This window comes from Homo sapiens, chromosome 14 (genome assembly GCF_000001405.40).
Source record: "Homo sapiens chromosome 14, GRCh38.p14 Primary Assembly".
NCBI classification, from domain to species: domain Eukaryota; kingdom Metazoa; phylum Chordata; class Mammalia; order Primates; family Hominidae; genus Homo; species Homo sapiens.
In genome coordinates, this window is record NC_000014.9 from 44,525,741 (window position 1) to 44,544,729 (window position 18,989).

The 18,989-nt window shown below is 35.4% G+C and overlaps 1 long non-coding RNA gene across 1 annotated transcript in view; it reads left to right on the plus strand.

Moving 5' to 3' along the window:
• The window catches only part of LOC105370473 (uncharacterized), a 31,105-nt gene extending 18,332 nt beyond the window's left edge, over positions 1-12,773 (plus strand). The window contains exon 3 of the long non-coding RNA NR_135257.1: positions 12,534-12,773. This is a non-coding gene — a long non-coding RNA (uncharacterized LOC105370473). The remainder of the gene's footprint in view (positions 1-12,533) is intronic.
• The last annotated feature ends 6,216 nt before the right edge of the window (positions 12,774-18,989 follow it).

Genomic DNA, 18,989 nt, shown 5'->3' on the forward strand with positions numbered 1-18,989 from the left:
TAACCCTTGTTTAATCACAGGCTACAGAACAATTTTTGTCCCACCCTTCTTTCTATTATTGTTTATGGCAAAAGATATATATATATGTCTGTGTGTGTGTGTGTGTGTGTGTGTATATGTGTGTGTATATATATGTGTATATGTGTGTATATATATGTATATATATGTATATATATGTGTATATATACGTATATATATGTATATATATGTATATATATGTGTATATATACGTATATATATACATATATGGCAGAGTTTTTTTAGATATTGTTTTGGTCTTTTTTTTTTTACTAAAAGAAACATCTAGAAAATGCAAATAAGTCTGGGATAGAAGGATATTGGTTTTTTTGTGTGTGGATGATTTTACAATTCCTCACTTTACCTCTATAACAAGATGTCAGGGGTGTCTGTATGTGTGTGTGTTTATTAATTCAATAAAGTTAGTTCCAGAATACATCAGTAAGTTAGTACATATTCAGAATAATTTCAAAAAAGTATACAATTCAAATCAATATTCATATGATTATTCACAAACATTCAGAAATATTTGAGTGCCTCTGAATCTTCAAGTTTTAAATTAAATATTATTCTGTCTTCTATTTATTATTATAGATCTTCTCTTCACTCTTTTCCCTACATTTTACCCCAGCAGTATGGGCCAAATGGACCTCAACAATGAGTGGCAGTGCTCTCTGACTTTGATTGGATTCAGCAAATGAGGTGCACTTAGCAGAGATCTGATGGAGGCAGAATAGTGAAGTTCTCCCAGCTCCTTTACTGAAGAGTTGCTTCGAGCTGGCTGAGTCTCTCAGACAAACATCACAGCTTTTATAAGATCCCTCTCACTTAGCTTTCTCCATACAGCATTCCCACTTTTTCTTGCCTCCAAACCAATATTCTCCTTCCCCTTTCAGCCTAGGGATAATGATGTTACTAGCCTCAAGGTAACCTTTGTGATTTCCCTATACTCTGCTCAGACATCTATAACTAGTTCTCATTAAACTCTTCTTAAATTACACAAATAGAGCATTTTCCTGCAAAGCCAGTGAATGATGCACTTATCATATTTAGGGATCTGAGGATGTTATTATGTCATAAACTTTGAAGTCACTGGTATATGATTTAAATTATAACTCCCAGATAAGAATGCACAGTTACCAGTACTCTTTGTCTAAGTGTTTTAGATTAATAGTATTTATTTCAGATTAAATCAGAATTTAGCTAGAGAAATAAAGGAGGTGAAAAGGAAGTTTATGTCAGTTCTTTTTAATGCACCATATGGGAAAATCAAATTGAGTATTAGTTCTATTACATCAATGTAATAGATGTAGCCTTTTATTACGCTACATTACAGGAGTCAGACAGCGGGAGCTTAGTGACAACAGTCAATCATCTCCCTTTCCTAACCTAACCCTGCTTCAACAATCCAGGAAGTCTCTTTTAGGATGGATATTGCTTAGCAATAGAGACAAATGTAGTACATTCATTTGGGCTATGCCATAATTGCCACTGGGCCCTCAGGTTAGTCTTTTTTACAAAGAATATGAGTTATGTGAACAAAGAAGGATACACACCAAATAGTCCTGGATTGTGACCAGAATTCAACTGCTTACAGAGTAATTTTTTTTTTTTTTTTTTTGAAACAGAGTTTTGCTGTGTTGCCCAGGCTGGATTGCAGTGGGACGATCTCAGCTCACTGCAACTTCTGCTTCCCAGGTTCAAGAGATTCTCCTGCCTCAGCTCCCAAGTAACTGGGATTACAGGTGCAAGCCACCACTCCCAGCTAATTTTTAGTAGGGACAGGCTTTCCCCATGTTGGCCAGGCTGGTCACGAACTCCTAACCTCAAGTAAACCACCAACCTCAGCCTCCCAAACTGCTGGAATTACAGGCGTGAGCCACCATGCCTGGCCACAGAGCAATTTTTTTACCTAGGTAGGTTCTGCTCCTCCTTAGTTCAAACCACCAAGTTATGACATTAGAATCAGAACCTACTTCTAATCCAAAAAAAAAAAAAGCCCAACACAAAGGACTAAAACATTCTTGTATGCAGCAACTAATAATCAATATAAGGTCTTAACATTTCTATTTTTATCTAAAGACTTACAATCCCTATACAGATTTAACATTTTTTCTCTTTTCCATTTCTCCTGAGAAAATTAAAGAGAATTTAACAAAATCCCATATGTAGATTTAAAGCTCAACATATATAAAACCACTCAAGTGGTTTTGTCAACAAAATGGATATATAATAAAACATTAAATTACTCCTCCAGATTATCTCTAAATCTAAAACATTGTCTCTCCTGGTTGAGAGAATATCAGACTTAATCAAACCTATTAATGAAAATTTTCATACCTGTTTGGGTAACTTATTGAACTCCTCCTAACTCCAGTTTCTCCTTAGACAAATGATATATGGACAGGCTCAAATATTCCATGTATAGCAATTTGAAAGAACCCTTTGGATGAAAATTTCTGTTTAGTCCAACACACTTTTTAAAACTTTTTATTTAACATTATATAGTTTTAAATAGAACATTGTTTTGACAGAAATTTGAAAAGTATAAGCTCTACTTTGAATTTTTCTAATTATATAGAAGCAGAAATGCTCAAGCAGAAAACTATTGAAAATGCAAATTCAGCAATTTGAAAGGCTATTAAAAATTCTTTATTAAAAAAGAAGACCAGAGTTTTTAAACATGCTCAGAAAAAAAAAATGCTTAGAAAAAATCCCCCAGGGACAAATTATGAACTTGCTGAGAAAGAACTTTAAAAGTATATAGTTATCCCTTCTATTAATTCTGACTTTAGATTGTGGATGACTACAGATCATTTTCATAAATATATCTACCAGAAGTTTCTATAAAAACAATATTAGAGTTAGATTATACTTATGAAAAATCCACTGCCCCATCCAGAATAAACCCACCTTCTGACTCCTCTGCCCTGCATAAGTCTTCACTGAAGAGAAGGCTAAAGGAGGCAGTCTTGGACTAGAATTTTTGCAATAGGATGGTAAAATCTGAGGTACAGCTGTGTTTTATGCAAATTACATGTGACCCCAAAACTTGAGTACCCTTTGACGATTTGCCCACAGAAACAGCACCCCTCAATTAACTTCCAGCATTTGCTTGCTTTAAATAGCCCCAACGTGTTAAGTAGGTTAAAAAATATCCACATCAACTCTTCGTGAAAATACACAGCCTCACATACACATAACAAAGGTAGCATTAGAGCAATTGAGAAAAAAATATACTCCTACCACATGAAGGCATTTGAAATAATCCTTTGTTTAAGGGACTGAATGTACAATGGATTAAAGTTCTAGCTCAGCTGAACAACATAAGTCCTTATGTTGGGCATGCTCAGCTCTTGCTGAAAGGTCAAAGCTCTCCATGGACAATAGAGGCTACTGCACACACAAATGGGGCATAGCACATGACTCTGGAGATTCATTCTAAAAGTATGACTTGTCAGCTCTAGCATTACAAAGCATTAAAACCCAAACACTGCTCTCTGATGATAACATTGTTCCTAACTACTTGGCACCAGGAGTCACAGTGAAAACCACTGACAGCAATAAAAGGCAGACTAAGGAAATAGGATCCCCACTTCTCTGAATTTCAACATGACATTACACTATATTGCATTCAGTGCACGGCTAGATCTTTTTAAGTGTGAAGCCCATGGGACTTGAGAGAAAATTTTGATGATGCATTTGGAAAAACTGGAAAGCATCCTCACCTCAACACTACATATAAGCTTTCTGCTTCAATCATACAAATAAGCAACTATACCACCACCCTTCTGGTTTGTGTTCTGTTGTTTTAAAAGAGTTATGTAAAACAAATTTTTCCAATTCCAGCCTCAGAATGAATGCCAAATCAATTAACAGAGATCAAATCACAACAAGCTCAACCCGCAGAGATTTCAAGTAGGCATTACTTGAAATCAAGTATTTTGATGCAGACTGAATATTAATGTTGCATCAAATAAGATAGAATAGAAATTTCTAAGTTTCCAAAAATGGGATTGAATCCAGATTGTGAAAATCAGAGAGTGTACACAGATCTGTATGGTGGATTAGTTCTACACATATATTTATGTGACTGTAAACATAAAAGCCTTCTCCTAATTCTGATGCTGAAAGTTTCTTTAATAAGAAGCAAAGGCATTACATAAGAGATGCAGTCTAACATGCAAATATCCTTCAGAGAAGAAAAACATTTGTAATAAGCTTATAAATGACATTTCTGTGGATTTTCCTTTTTTCAGAGCAGACTTTGATAGTGAAAAGAAGGAAGAAAACATGTAGGCCCTAAAGATCCTTAAAAGAGGGAAAGAGGTGACACAAGGTAAAAAGGGGTAGAAGATCCTACAAATAAACATAGCCTCATAGCTTACTGCACAATTTTTTCAAGGTTTTATTATACCATAGAAAATTGCCCCAAAACATACTGACATACTGAGACCTCTAATATTTTATATATGTATATATATTTTTTAAAATATTAAACCAACATACGAGTTTCCAGTATGTAACAATAAGAAACATAGATAATAAGGAAAACATAATTTTGCCAGACCAACTTAAGTGTTTTTTTAGAGAGCAATTTCTCAGTTTAAGCACATCAGATATCTGCAAGAACATTAAGAGGCAGGATTAGCAATAACAAATAAATGCTTAACATTTATATTCAACCAGACAAATATCAAATGATGTATACGTCATTTGATGTATACAAATATCAAAATGATGTATACCTGGTGGAACTTTAAAAAATGACAACATATTTACTGATTTTGTTAAAAAGTCGGCTTCTTTTTGTTAAAAAGAAGGCTCAAAGGATAGGGGCTGTCCCATGTGAGATAATTCAGATAAAGCTTGGAAAAGGAGAGAGTCCAAGATCAGCCCCAGGGACGATCCGTAGGTGACTAATGCTCTCCTCATCCAGTAATAAATGGATTCATCCATACACTAGTCATCATCTGCATAAATCTCCCAGATTGCTCATGTTCTTTTTTCCAATTATCTAAAGAAATATTTTAGAACTTTGGGCAGTACTAAAAAAATAAATCTCTATTAATGACCTACTATGTGTCAGGAACAGTACTAAGCACATCATATAAATTATTTAACAAATATTTGAATGTGGTGGACAGAATAATGGCCCTCCCAAATATGTCCATGTCCTAATACTCAGAATCTGTGAATATGTTAGTGCATATGGCAAAGGAGTATTAGGGCTGCTAATCAGATGACCTTGATATGAGGGGATTATCCTCAATTATCTGGCTGGGCCAAATGTCCTTATAAGTAGGAAAGGGAGGCACAAGAGTGAGAGATTTGAAGATGCTATGGTGTTGGCTATTCTCTGTTGGCCTTGAAGGTGGATGAAGGAGCCATGAGCCAAGGAAAACACAGGTGGCCTCTAGAATCTAGAAAAGTAAATGAATTCTCCCATAGAACCTCCAGAAGTAATGCAGCCCTGCTGATACCTTGATTTTAGCCAAGATCCATTTCAGACCTCTGACCTTTGGAACTGTCAGAGAACACAGCTGTGCTGTTTTAAGCCATGAAATTTGTAGTAGTTTGGTAAAGCAGCAATAGGAAACCACTACATTGACTGTTCCATTATTTCATTTAATCCTTATGAAATTCTATAAATGTATTATTATTGCTATTTTACGGATAAAGAAACTGAGTCCGAGAGTTTAGTTAACTTGCCCAAATTTACCCAGCTAGTGGGTACCTAAACCAGGTTTCAAAACTATTCTAATTCCAAGGTCTATCCATTTAATTATTATAATTCTTCTCTCATGGGTTGATATTACCATACACTCAACATTACAACTCCCCACCACGTATTTATTCCAAGAAAAGATTTCATCACTGGGGCCTTACTCTGTACCTGCACATGAAGCAGCTGGTGCAGACTGTGGCTCTTTCAACTCAGAATGAATGAGAATGTGGTATAAAACAGTAAAACAGTGACTTATTGGAGGAGCAAAACTAGGAGTTTTACACATATAGATGTGAGCAATGAAGCAGGGAGGCATTCTGACAGCTGCTGATGACAAGCAGATTGGCTGCTATAGCACGTCAGACGCCATGAATCACAAGAGAGCTTTCAGTAATGGTTCCCACCAGTACAGCCCACTGACACCATTTTTCAGTGTTGACAGACTCAAACATTCCCATTTCCAGTGACTCATTGGGCAGAGACAATTTGACATATGGACTGACCACTCCTGGATAGGATCCCTCTACTAAAGAACATTAATGTATATTGCAGTTTTACTATTAATCATTTAAAGCACTATTGTTTTGCCTTCTGATTTATATTAGTTTTCATGGAAATAGCCATTGACTAAACCTCATGCTAAGTATGAATCCACTCAGATGTCTCTACTCCAAGTCTCAAGGTTTCACTCTTTTCCAATCAATTCTCTATCACATAAGAGATCTGGCAAGATTGCAACTTATGTTGTAATTCTGCAACCTGCACAATTAAATTTTGTGCCTGATTTTCAGTAAGCTATAAGAAACAAGGAATTTTTTAAGCAGCTCTCTGGTTCTCTGATAATGACTTTGGCTGGGAGCTTAAAGACCTGGGTTTGAATTTCTTCTCTGAGTGCTCCAGTGCATTCAAAGAAAAGCATTCCATACCACAGTGCTTGTAGTCGTCATCACTTCCATAATGGTCAGCACTACCAATGCACTTGATTATTAGGCACTTCCACACAGTTAACAGCAGATGAAAATTTTATTAATCCTGATGACACTATATACCATATATTACTAATATCTCATTACACATTTGCACAGAACTCAGTACTGTATTCAAGCTCAAGCATACAACCAATGCAATCCCCAAATCTCATCTTTGAAGGTCTGTTTCCTGAGACTACTCCTAATACCAGCTTTGTATTGGTTGGGAGACAGGAGAGAAAACCCATACCAGTTATTAACACAGAGAATATAACATAAAAAATTATTAAGGATAATTTTTTATCCTTAATTGGAAAACTGAAAAGACAAAAAGGAATATTAAGAAATCATTGAGATAGTCATACAAAGAGCAGCTACCACCTCCAGGAGCTGGGAATAAAAAGGGGGAAAGGTTGTAATGATAAAACTTAGATGCTTGGAGAAGGGACCCATGGAACTGAACTCAGATCTCTGAGGAAGGGGCAGTGTTCAGCTAGCTCTGGTGTCCCTGAGTAGTCATAATAAGGCTGGTTACATGAGTGTTAGAAAAACTGCAATCTGATATCCACAGCAGCTATGGAAAGAACTGACACTGCTTCTGAGATAAAGAAACTTTGCTGGGGAAATGCTGAAGGGAGCAGGCATGAGTACCCCTACCTCCTCTATCTTTGCAAACTTCTAGTTGCCCCTATTGGCAAACCCTAACAGAGAACCAGCCTGCCTGCAAAGCAGAAAGGTGGGTTTGCAGTGTCTCAGTTCAAGCAAAGAAACACATGGTATACTGTTTAGCTCATTCATTCACTCACCAAACATTTTTAAATGCCTACTATATTCTGGGCACTGGTGACCACTGAACAAAATAACAAAGTCTCCACTTTTGCGGTTGACATTTTGGTAGGGTGAGGCCAATAATAAATAAATAGACAAATATTTAATATTTGAGGTGGTAAAAAATGCTTTGAAGGAAAATAAATCAGTGATGGGGTGGAGAGAAATGGGTGCAGAAGCAGTAGAGATGGAGGCTGTGTAGATAAAGCATGAGCAGTAGAGCCACACTGCCAGCACCTGAGTCCTATCTCTGCTTCTTACTAAACCTATGATCTCAGGCAAGTTACTTAGCCTCTCTGTACCTCAGTTACTTTACGCGTCAGATGCAGATAATGGTGACAAAAATATCAACTTCATGGAATTGCTGTAAAGATTAAATAAATGGGTATCTATAAAGTGCTTAGAATAATATCTGGTGTATAATAAGTTCCATATTGTTAAAGAGTGGTATCATATAATGACAGACTACAATGAGCCTAGACTGGGAGGAGGGAGAGTGTGGTTACGGTAAAAGAAGACATAAAAGGTATGGAAACGGTAATGAGGAACAAAGAAGACCTGAACTCCAGGCCAGTGATATGAGGGATATAAAAGAGAAAACAGCTAACCGTGAGAACTCTGAGAGGGAGGCAAAGTCTTCAAAGGAGAGTCAGGTTTAAGCCACATTCAGAAAAGAGGCTGAGAATACTGCACTGTAGATGATAGTGGATGCAATTTAGAGAAAGACATAGAAGTGTGAAAGAAGTATTTGCCACTTATTACCTTACTTTTACTAAAAGTAAAAACGCTATGATTAGAATGATAAGGCCGGGCGCAGTGGCTCACGCCTGTAATGCCACCACTTTGTGGGGCCAAGTCGGGCAGATCACCTGAGGTCGGGAGTTCAAGATCAGCCTAACCAACATGGAGAAACCCCGTCTCTACTGAAAATACAAAATTAGCCGGGCATGATGGCACATGCCTGTAATCCCAGCTTCTCAGGAGGCTGAGGCAGGAGAATTGCTTGAACCTGGAAGGCGGAGGTTGCTGTGAGCCAAGATCACGCCACTGCACTCTAGCCTGGGCAACAAGAGCGAAACTCTGTCTCAAAAAAGAAATAAACAAACAAACAAACAAAAATGATAATAGTTTTCTGACGGTAAAAACACCAAAACATTTATTATGAGCAATAATATAATTTCTATAACACTGTCTAGTTTACAAAATGTTTTCACATCTACAGTGTTATTGCTCATAATAACATTGTAAAACTGAAACAATATACATTCACAATGAGAGTGAAGACATAGGCAAACCTAGTATTAGTCCAATAATTCTCAAACATTTGACAGTTGCTAAGAGGGTGAATATATCTACTGAAAACTAAAATAAGGCTTTAGGGAAAATATGTTGTAGACACTAAGATGTTTTCACATTGTATATGTAAAACAGTAGATGGATTCTGAGCTTCTGGTGTTTCCAAATAAAAAAAGGCTTTTTGGTAGAGCAATATACTAGTTAAACCACAAAGTACCTAGATAGTGGATCCCTAATGGCCCAATCACAAGGCCACTTTTCAGAGGTCCTACCATATTGGAAAACAGCCCTTAAAATGTGGCCATTCTGCATACTTGTCAACACACTGAAACCTCAAGGTGACCCACACTAAAAGGTCTGTCTCTGCTCTCTTACTCAGCTGTCATTCCCAGCATAATTTCAAGGGACTTCAGGGACTTCCAACATGTACTTTATATAGATCACGTAGAAGTCCAAAATGCCACAATAGTATCAAAAAATAGATTTTTAGGATAACAGAATCAAAATTAGTTTCCTAGTATGACACAAGATCTTAAAGAACCCTCATCTAATCTCTCACGTTATTGATTTGAACAATGAAGTAGAGCGAAAGAAAGTGACTTTACTCAAGGGCACACAGATTCACAGCTACATAGTGACAGTATAGGGCTAAATTTCTGGTTTCCTAGATACTGAGTTCAACATTCTCATTCAGCTCTACATGCTGCCTTAATATTATTGGGAGAATGATACAGGAAAGGGAAGCAACCTGGAATTAAAACTGATATAGGAAAAGAAATATTGGTGGGGAGGACATGTCTTACAGATGCATATGACTAACCTTACAGAAGAGAAAAAAGTGGCTCATCAGTGTATTTAATCACTGTGTAACATGCACACATATTCTGCAGATTTCTCAAGTGACAGGACTTAAAAATTTAATTTCTACAGCTTATTATTTCTACATTTGAACTGATTTGTAAAAACCTTGAAGACAACTCCATTTTCCAAGTCTTGGTATTCCCTCAAGCGCATCACAAACTGGGCCCACAATAGTTACTCAATAACTGCTTCCTATGTATGTACCTGATTATAATACTTGACAAAATATTCACCCTTTGGTTATGAAAATTATTTTTAATTTTTTCTTCTTTGTTTAGCAAAGCAACATTTAGAGTTATTCTAAAACTGTCTACTGATATATAGATTTTATTTAGAAAACATTTGTTTTATTCAGTTAGTCATTTTTTAGCAAAATTCACAAATCAAAATTATGATTTAGATTAATATAAAGTAACACATTTGAAGTTATGAAGCTTTGCTTCATGAAAGATTTAAGAAAACAAAGATTATTCTACATGAAATGCCACATAAAGCAATTTAGCAGACTTGAAAAACAAGAAAGGGGAGGGAATATGTGCAAAGAACTACATAGGAATGGAGCACTTTTAGTTTCTATAGTAACCAATATAAATGAATACTGTTTTGGAAAATGTACTAGCAAAGTCAGTGAGACGTAAATTTATGAACACAAAAACCAAAGACCCAATTCAATCCTATGGTATAAATCCACACTTTTCCTCTAAATGGAGCTGAAATTTTTTTAAAAGCCCTATTGCTAACTGGTCTGTTCAAAGGATTTTTTTCTTAATTTGCTATTCTGCCTTCTGGGTATTTGTCTACTACACAAACATTTATCAATAACTAGAAATGACTTTTTTATTGCCTGCTGGATCGTTTATTAAAACTCTAGTGGAGAAGCCAATGAGAACATAATTGTCTAACAATCCCTTCTTCCCAACTGTGTGTGGTAAATTGACTCCAGAGACCAGGACACACAACGTGATAACTTTTTCAAAATTAATTGAAATATTAATCATAAAACAAAAAAAGAAAAATATGTATATATTATTTACTTTTATCTAAGCGAGTAAATCTCCTTTGTTATAAAAACTATACTAAATGTATGTTTTCAGTTTTTTAGATAAAGAGAGAGGACTATGTGAAGTTATTTTCAGAGACAGAGCAAAATCCATTGCCCAGGCGCCCTGTTGTTCTTCTGATTTGTGTATGCTTAGCCTACTCAGTATAATAAAGATGGTCAAGGATTATACAATTTACACCCATTTAAACATATATACTTTTCTCCTAAAGTAAATGACTAAAACAAGACATTTATCTGAAGAAGAAACTTCCTGTAATCACGTAAGTGTTACAGTGATGAAGAGAGCCGAACAGTTATTTCAACATTTCATGTAAAATTGTCATGAAAAGGAAAAAATTTCACAATGTACAATGCAAAACACTTTCATTTAATACTTGTTTTATTAATATCATTGAGTTGTCTAGAAATCAGTGTCTTTAAGCATATTGAGGTTGATTTTCAACATGCCAATTATCTTACTCCAAGTGTTTATTCCAATGCTTTAAAAAGAAGGAATTACATCTAAATGCCTTGTGTCTGTATATTGACCTAGCTTGATGAACTGGTGATGCTGCTTCCTTCAGCCTCATATTGTAAAGTGTTCTTCCTACATCCTTCACAGTTACAATGTAATCAGATTTTCTAAATATCTAATTGTTAATACTCATCTTATTCCATAATGATGCTACTGATAGAGACTATGTGCAGACTAATAAGATCAAAGTCAAAATGACTGATCTTGCCAAAAGATCTTTTTTATTTTCTATTATGTATTAAGAAACACTATAGGAGGCGCTGGAAATGTAAGAATGAGTAAGATGCCCTGCTGTCCAGGATATCACAAGCTAGCCAGAAAAAGAAACAAAAAAAAATGGCTATCAAAATATTGTGGTTGCATAAGAATTCAGTAATTCAAAGGAAAAATTCAAATTAAAACAAGTTTTCAACATTTGTTATAATGTCTACTACTTTGTTTTGAAATATTTCTAGACTTGAAATTCCTAATTTTCCAAAATTGATATTTGTGAGAAAGTAATCACTAATACTCTGAAAGGTTAATATGATCTATATTTAGAAGAAAACCTTCAGACAAATTAAATTTAGCAGAGTTTATTTAAGCAAAGCTCATGAATCAAGCAGCACATTGAACAAGTTGAAGATCATTTAGCTCCACCCGTCAGTGTAGGCAGGCAATATTTGTAGACAGAAAAAGGAAGTAATGTACATAAAGAGCTTGGTTGATTATAGCTCCACATTTGGGCCTGGTGTGATGAGGCATTTGCTTTATATGGACATGGTCTGATCAGTTGGCAGTCTGTGATTGGCTGTTGGCAGTCTGTGATTGGCTGAAGCTCAGCTGCTATGATTGGCTAAGACTCACCTACTTGTTACAAGAATATATTCTTAAGTTAGGTTACAGTTTGTTCACATACTAAGATAGGTTGCTTTTTGCTACTTAGAGAGGCAGCTCTAAGCCAAATTTAATTTAACAGGACAGTTTCAAATATATGTGAGGCAATATATGTGGAATTGCTTTCCATGAAGTATTTTGAATGAGCCTTTTTCAAATGTCTGAAGAACTGTATACCATGTTAGTATAATTAAATTTTACACAACTGAAAATTTTTATATAAAAATAAATACTAATTATTCATATATGTTAAGATTTAGAAAGCGTATCCTTTTCTTCAATAAATACATTAACTTTACTGTAAAGAAAATTTGTTGCCTTACACGATCATCTATAATTTTAGTATTTCAAAGATGACATTATTTATTTTGTTATATTAAGGAAAAGTAAAGATGTTTCTGGAAGGCACCAGGAGTCCTGTCTGCACTGAGCACCATGAAGTTCACCTGCATTGAGTTCTTTCCCTTTGTACAACACTTACTCCCAGACCAAAAAATAACTCCTTCTCTCCAATCTGTGTTCCAGGCAAACCAATAGACTCCAGTTGTCTCCCGAAATGCTTAAAGTGCTTTTCCAATATCCACTATGTTTGGGCAACATATTAAAAATATACAACAAAAAATTTTTGCTATGTTTTTCTTCTTAAGCATGTAGGACACAGGGCTCAAAAGTAATGAATATTTCAATGTTACCAAATTCTTCAACTTCAGTTTTCATTATTGTTGATCTTGTCCTTCTGGGTGGGCATGGATAGTATTAAAACACTTTGTAGATATGAAGATTGGTTTGAAAATTTTGGCTACTTTAGTGCAATGCAATCTGTCAGTTTTCCTAAAGACTTGTTAGGCATGATCTAACATCACACCTAGAGGAACTGGAGTAACAAGAATAAACTAATCCCACAGCTAGCAGAAGAAAGTAAATAACGAAAATCAGAACAGAACTGAATGAAATTGAGACCCAAAAAATTGATACAAGAATCAACAAAACCAAAAGTGGAAAGGATAAACAACATGAATAGACCACTTGCTAGATTAACAAAGAAAAAAAGAGAGACTAGATCCAAATAAGCACCATCAGAAATAACAAAAGTGACATTGCAACTGATCCCACAAAAATACAAAAGATTTGTAGAAACTATTACGAACACCTCTATGCACACAAACTAAAAAATCTAGAGGAAATGAAAAAATACCTGGAAACACAGTCTCCCAAGATTGAATCAGGAAGAAATTGAAATGCTGAACAGACCAATATCGAGTTCCAAAATTGAATCAGTAATTTAAAAACCTATCAATGAAAACAAGCCCTGGACCAGATGGATTCACAGCTGAATTCTACCAGACATACAAAAAAGAGCTAGTACTGATTCTACTGAAACTATTTAAAAAAAAAATTGAGGAGGAGAGACTCCTCCCTAACTCATTCTACAAAGTCAGCATCACCAGGATAAAAAAAAAACCTGGAAAAAAACACAACAAAAAAGGAAAACTACAGGTCGGTCAATATCCTTGATAAACATAGACACAAAAATCCTCAACAAAATAATAGCAAACTGAATTCAATAGCACATCAAAAAGTTAATTCATCATGACAAAGCAGGCATCATTCCTGAGATGCAAAGTTGGCTCAACATATGCAAATCAATAAATATAATTCACCACATGAACTAAAATAAAAACAAAACCCATATGATTATCTCAATAGATACAGAAAACCCTTTCAAAAAGATCCAACATCCTTAATGATAAAAACCCCTAAGGAAATAGGCATCAAAGAAACGTACCTCAAAATATCCTTAATGATAAAAACCCTTAAGGAACTAGGCATCAAAGAAACATACCTCAAAATAACAAGAGCCATCTATGACAAACCCACAGGCAACATCATACTGACTGAACCAAAAGTAGAAGCATTCTCCCAGAGAACTAGAAATAAGACAAGGGTGTCCACTCTCACCACTCCTAATCAACATAGTACTGGAAGTGCTAGCAAGACAATCAGGCAAGAGGAAGAAATAAAAGGCATCCAAATAGAAAAAGAAGTCAAATTATCTCTCTTCACTGATGATATAATTCTATACAGAGAAAACCCAAAGGACTCTGACAAAAGGCTATTATAACTGATAAATGACTTTATGAAGATTTCAGATGCAAAATCAATGTACAAAAAGCTGTAGCATTTCTATACACTAATATAGTTCAAGCTGAGAGCCAAATCAAGAATGCAATTTCATTTAAAATAGACAGAAAAAATAAAATAAAATACCTAGGAATACATCTAACCTAGGAGGTGAAAGATCTTTATAAAGGGAACTACAGAACACTGCTAAAAGAAATTGTAGAAAACAGAAACAAATGGAAAAACATCCCATGTGCATGGATTAAAATAATCATTAAAATACCCATACTGCCCAAATCAATATACAGATTCAATGTTATTCCTATCGAACTACCAATGTCATTTTTCACAGAACTGCTAAAAACTATGCTAAAATGTATATGGAATCAAAAGAAAAAAGAAGAACCTGAAAAGCCAAAGCAATCTTAATCAAAAAGAACAAACCCAGAGGCATCACACTTGACTTCATACTACTCCATAACCCAAACAGCATGGTACTGGTACAAAAACAGACACATAGACCGATGGAACAGAATGCGGAACCCAGAAATAAAGCCATACACCTACAGTCATCTGATCTTTGACGAAGCTGACAAAAATAAGTAATGGGGAAAGAATTCCCTATTCAATAAATGGTGCTGGGATAGCTGGCTAGCCATATATAGAATGAAACTAAAGCCCTACATTTTACCATATACAAAAATTAACTCAAGATGGATTAAAGACTTAAAATGTAAGACATCAAATCATAAGAATACTAGAAGAAAAACCTAAGAAACACCATTCTGGACATCGGCCTTGGGAAAGAATTTATGACTAGGTCCTCAAAAGCAATTGCAACAGAAACAAAAATTGACAAGTGGGACCTAATTAAACTAAAGAGCTTCTGCACAGAAAAAGAAATTATCAACAGAGTGAACAGAAAACTTACAGAATGGGAGAAAATATTCACAAACTATGCATCTGACAAAGATCTAATATCCAGAATGCATAAGAAACTTTAATAATTGAACAAGCACAAAACAAATAACCCCATTAAAAATGGGCAAAAGACATGAACAGACACTTCTCAAAATAAGAAATACAAGCAGCGAACAAACATAAAAGAAAAAATTTTCAACATAACTAATTATCAGAGAAACGTGAATCAAAACCATAATGAGATACAATCTCGTACCATTCAGAATGGCTATTAATAAAAAGTCGAAAACAATAGATGTCGGTGAGGCTGCAGAGAAAAAGGAAGACTTACATACTGTCAGTGGGAAGATAAATTAGTTCAGCCACTGTTGAAAGAAGTTTGGAGATTTCTCACAGAACTACCATTCGACCCAGCAATCCTATTACTAGGTATACATCCAAAAGAAAACAAATCGTTCGACCAAAAAGACACATGCACTCTCACGTCCATTGCGGTACTATTCACAATATGAAAGACATGGAATCAACCTAGGTGCCCTTCAGTGGTGGACTGGATAAAAAAATGTGGTACAGATGGATTAAAGACTTAAATGTTAGACCTAAAACCATAAAAACCCTAGAAGAAAACCTAGACGATACCATTCAGGACATAGGCATGGGCAAGGACTTCATGACTAAAACACCAAAAGCAATAGCAACAAAAGCCAAAATAGACAAATGGGTTCTAATTAAACTAAAGAGCTTCTGCACAGCAAAAGAAACTACCATCAGAGTGAACAGGCAACCTAGAGAATGGGAGAAAATTTTTGCAATCTACTCATCTGACAAAGGGCTAATATCCAGAAACTACAAAGAACTTAAACAAATCTGCAAGAAAAAAATGAACAACCCCATCAAAAAGTGGGCAAAGGATATGAACAGGCAATTCTCAAAAGAAGACATTTATGCAGCCAACAGACACATGAAAAAATGCTCATCATCACTGGCCATCAGAGAAATGCAAATCAAAACCACAATGAGATACCATCTCACAACAGTTTAGAATGGCGATCATTAAAAAGTCAGGAAACAACAGATGCTGGAGAGGATGTGGAGAAATAGGAACACTTTTACACTGTTGGTGGGAGTGTAAACTAGTTCAACCATTGTGGAAGACAGTGTGGTCATTCCTCAAGGATCTAGAACTAGAAATACTATTTGACCCAGCAATCCCATTACTGGGTATATACCCAAAGGATTATAAATCATGCTACTATAAAGACACATGCACACGTATGTTTATTGTGGCACTATTCACAATAGCAAAAACTTAGAACCATCCCACATGTTCATCAATGATAGACTGGATTAAGAAAATGTGGCACATATATACCATGGAATACTATGCAGCCATAAAAAAGGATGAGTCCATGTCCTTTGCAGGGACATGGATGAAGCTGGAAACCATCATTCTGAGCAAACTATCACAAAGACAGAAAACGAAACACCACATGTTCTCACTCATAAGTGGGAATTGAACAATGAGAACACTTGGACAGAGGGTGGGGAACATCACACATGGGGGCCTGTCATGGGGCGGGGGGCAGGGGAGGGATAGCATTAGGAGAAATAACTAATGTAAATGATGAGTTAATAGGTGCCACAAACCAACATGGCATATGTATACCTACATAACAAACCTGCACGTTGTGCACATGTACCCTAGAACTTAAACTATAATTTAAAAAAAAAAAGTGGCACATACACACCAAGGAATACTATGCATCCATAGTATTTGCGGCAACATGGACACAGCTGGAGACCATTATCCTAAGTGAATTAATGCATGAACAGAAAACCAAATACCACATGTTCTCACTTATAAGTGGTAGCTAAACATTGGGTACTCATGAACATAAGGATGGCAACAATAAACACTGGGGAGGTCTAGAGGTGAGAGAGAAGGAAGGGGGCAAGGATTGAAAAACTAACTTGGGTACTATGCTCAGTACCTGGATGACACAATTATTCCTGACCCAAACTTCGGCATCACACTGCATGCCCAGGTAACAAACCTGCACGTGTACCCCCTGAATCTAAAATAAAAGTTGAAAGATAAGGAAAAAACAAAAACAACAAAAAACAGTTTTTAGCATGGTTCCTTCCTTCTTTGTTAATCACTGTATCCCTATGTACTGTGCTTAAGTGAGTTTGGGGATAGCTTTCAACTCTGCTATGCTTGCCCATATATTCACAATTTCTCCTGCTCTTTATTCCTCTCTTTAGATCTATATTTCCATCTGATATCATTGTACTTCAGCCTGAAGAATTCCTTCGACATGTCTTATAATGCTCATGTGTTCATGATTAATTTTTTCAGCTTTTGCTATAGCCTGGAAACTCAAGATAATACACTGAGGCATGGAGTTCAGCTTTTCCCTTCTCACCATTTGTTTCCCTTTTCTCAGGAGTTTCTGTCCTATGTTGCTTATTGTTAAAGGTCTGGAAACAGTTGTTTGACGTATTTTGTCTGTTTTTGTTTTTGTTATTCAAGGCAGGAGGGTAAATCTGGTCCCTGTTACTCTATCATGGCTAGAAGCAGAAATCTTACCCTTTCATAGACAAAAAATGGATCTGACTCTTTTTTTCCAGCTTTATTGAGGTGTAATTTAAAAATAACAATTATATATATTAAAGATGTATGATGTCATGTTTTAACATACATACGCATTGTATAACGATTACTATAATCAGATTAAGACATCCTCACCACACAGTTACCCTTTTTTGTGTGGCAGGGGGGTGGGGTGTGAAGACACTTCAGATCTACTCTCTTCACAAATTTCAAGTAAACAGTACAGTAGTATTAACTATAGTCACCATGTTTTGACCCTAGCAACTACCATTCTACTCTCTGCTTCTCTGTGAGTTCAACTCTTCTAGATTCCACATATAAGTGAGATCATACAGTATTTGTCTTTCTATGTCTGGTGTATTTCACTTAGCATAATTGCCTCCAGTTACATCAATGTTGTCAAAAATGGCAGGATTTCCTTCTTTTATATGAATAATATTTCATTATATATGTGTATAGTATATGTACATATATGTATGTGTATATATTATATATGTATGTATATAATATATATTATATGTATATATGTATGTGTGTGTGTATATTACATATACAAATATATGTATATACACACACACATACACATATACACACACAAACACACAACAGTTTCTTTATCCATTCACCTATTGATGGATACATAGGTTATTTTTGTATCTTGGCTATTGTGAACTTGGGGGTACAGATATCCTTTAGAGACACTAATTTCATTTCTTTTGGATATATACCCTGAAGTAGGATTGCTCGATCATATGGTAGTTCTATTTTTAATTTTTTGGAGGAACTTCCATACTTTTTTCCAAAACAGTTGTTAACAATTTACCTTCCCACCAACAGTATTAAAGGTCATTTCTCCACATTCTTGCCATCACTTGTTATCTCTTGTCTTTTTTATAATAATCATCATAATGGGTGTGAGGTGAGATCTCATTGTGGCTTTGATTTATATTTATATTTCTGATTTATATTTATATTTCTCTGATGATCCATGATTTTGAACATTTCTTCCTATACTTGTTGGCCATTTGTAAGACTTTTTAGAAAAAACATATCTATTCAGGTTCTTTGCCCATTTTTAATAGGATTATTTGGCTTTATTGCTACTGAGTTGCATGAGTTCTTTATATATTTGGACATTAAGCTTTTACTCAGTACATGGTTTTGCAAATATTTCCCCCCAT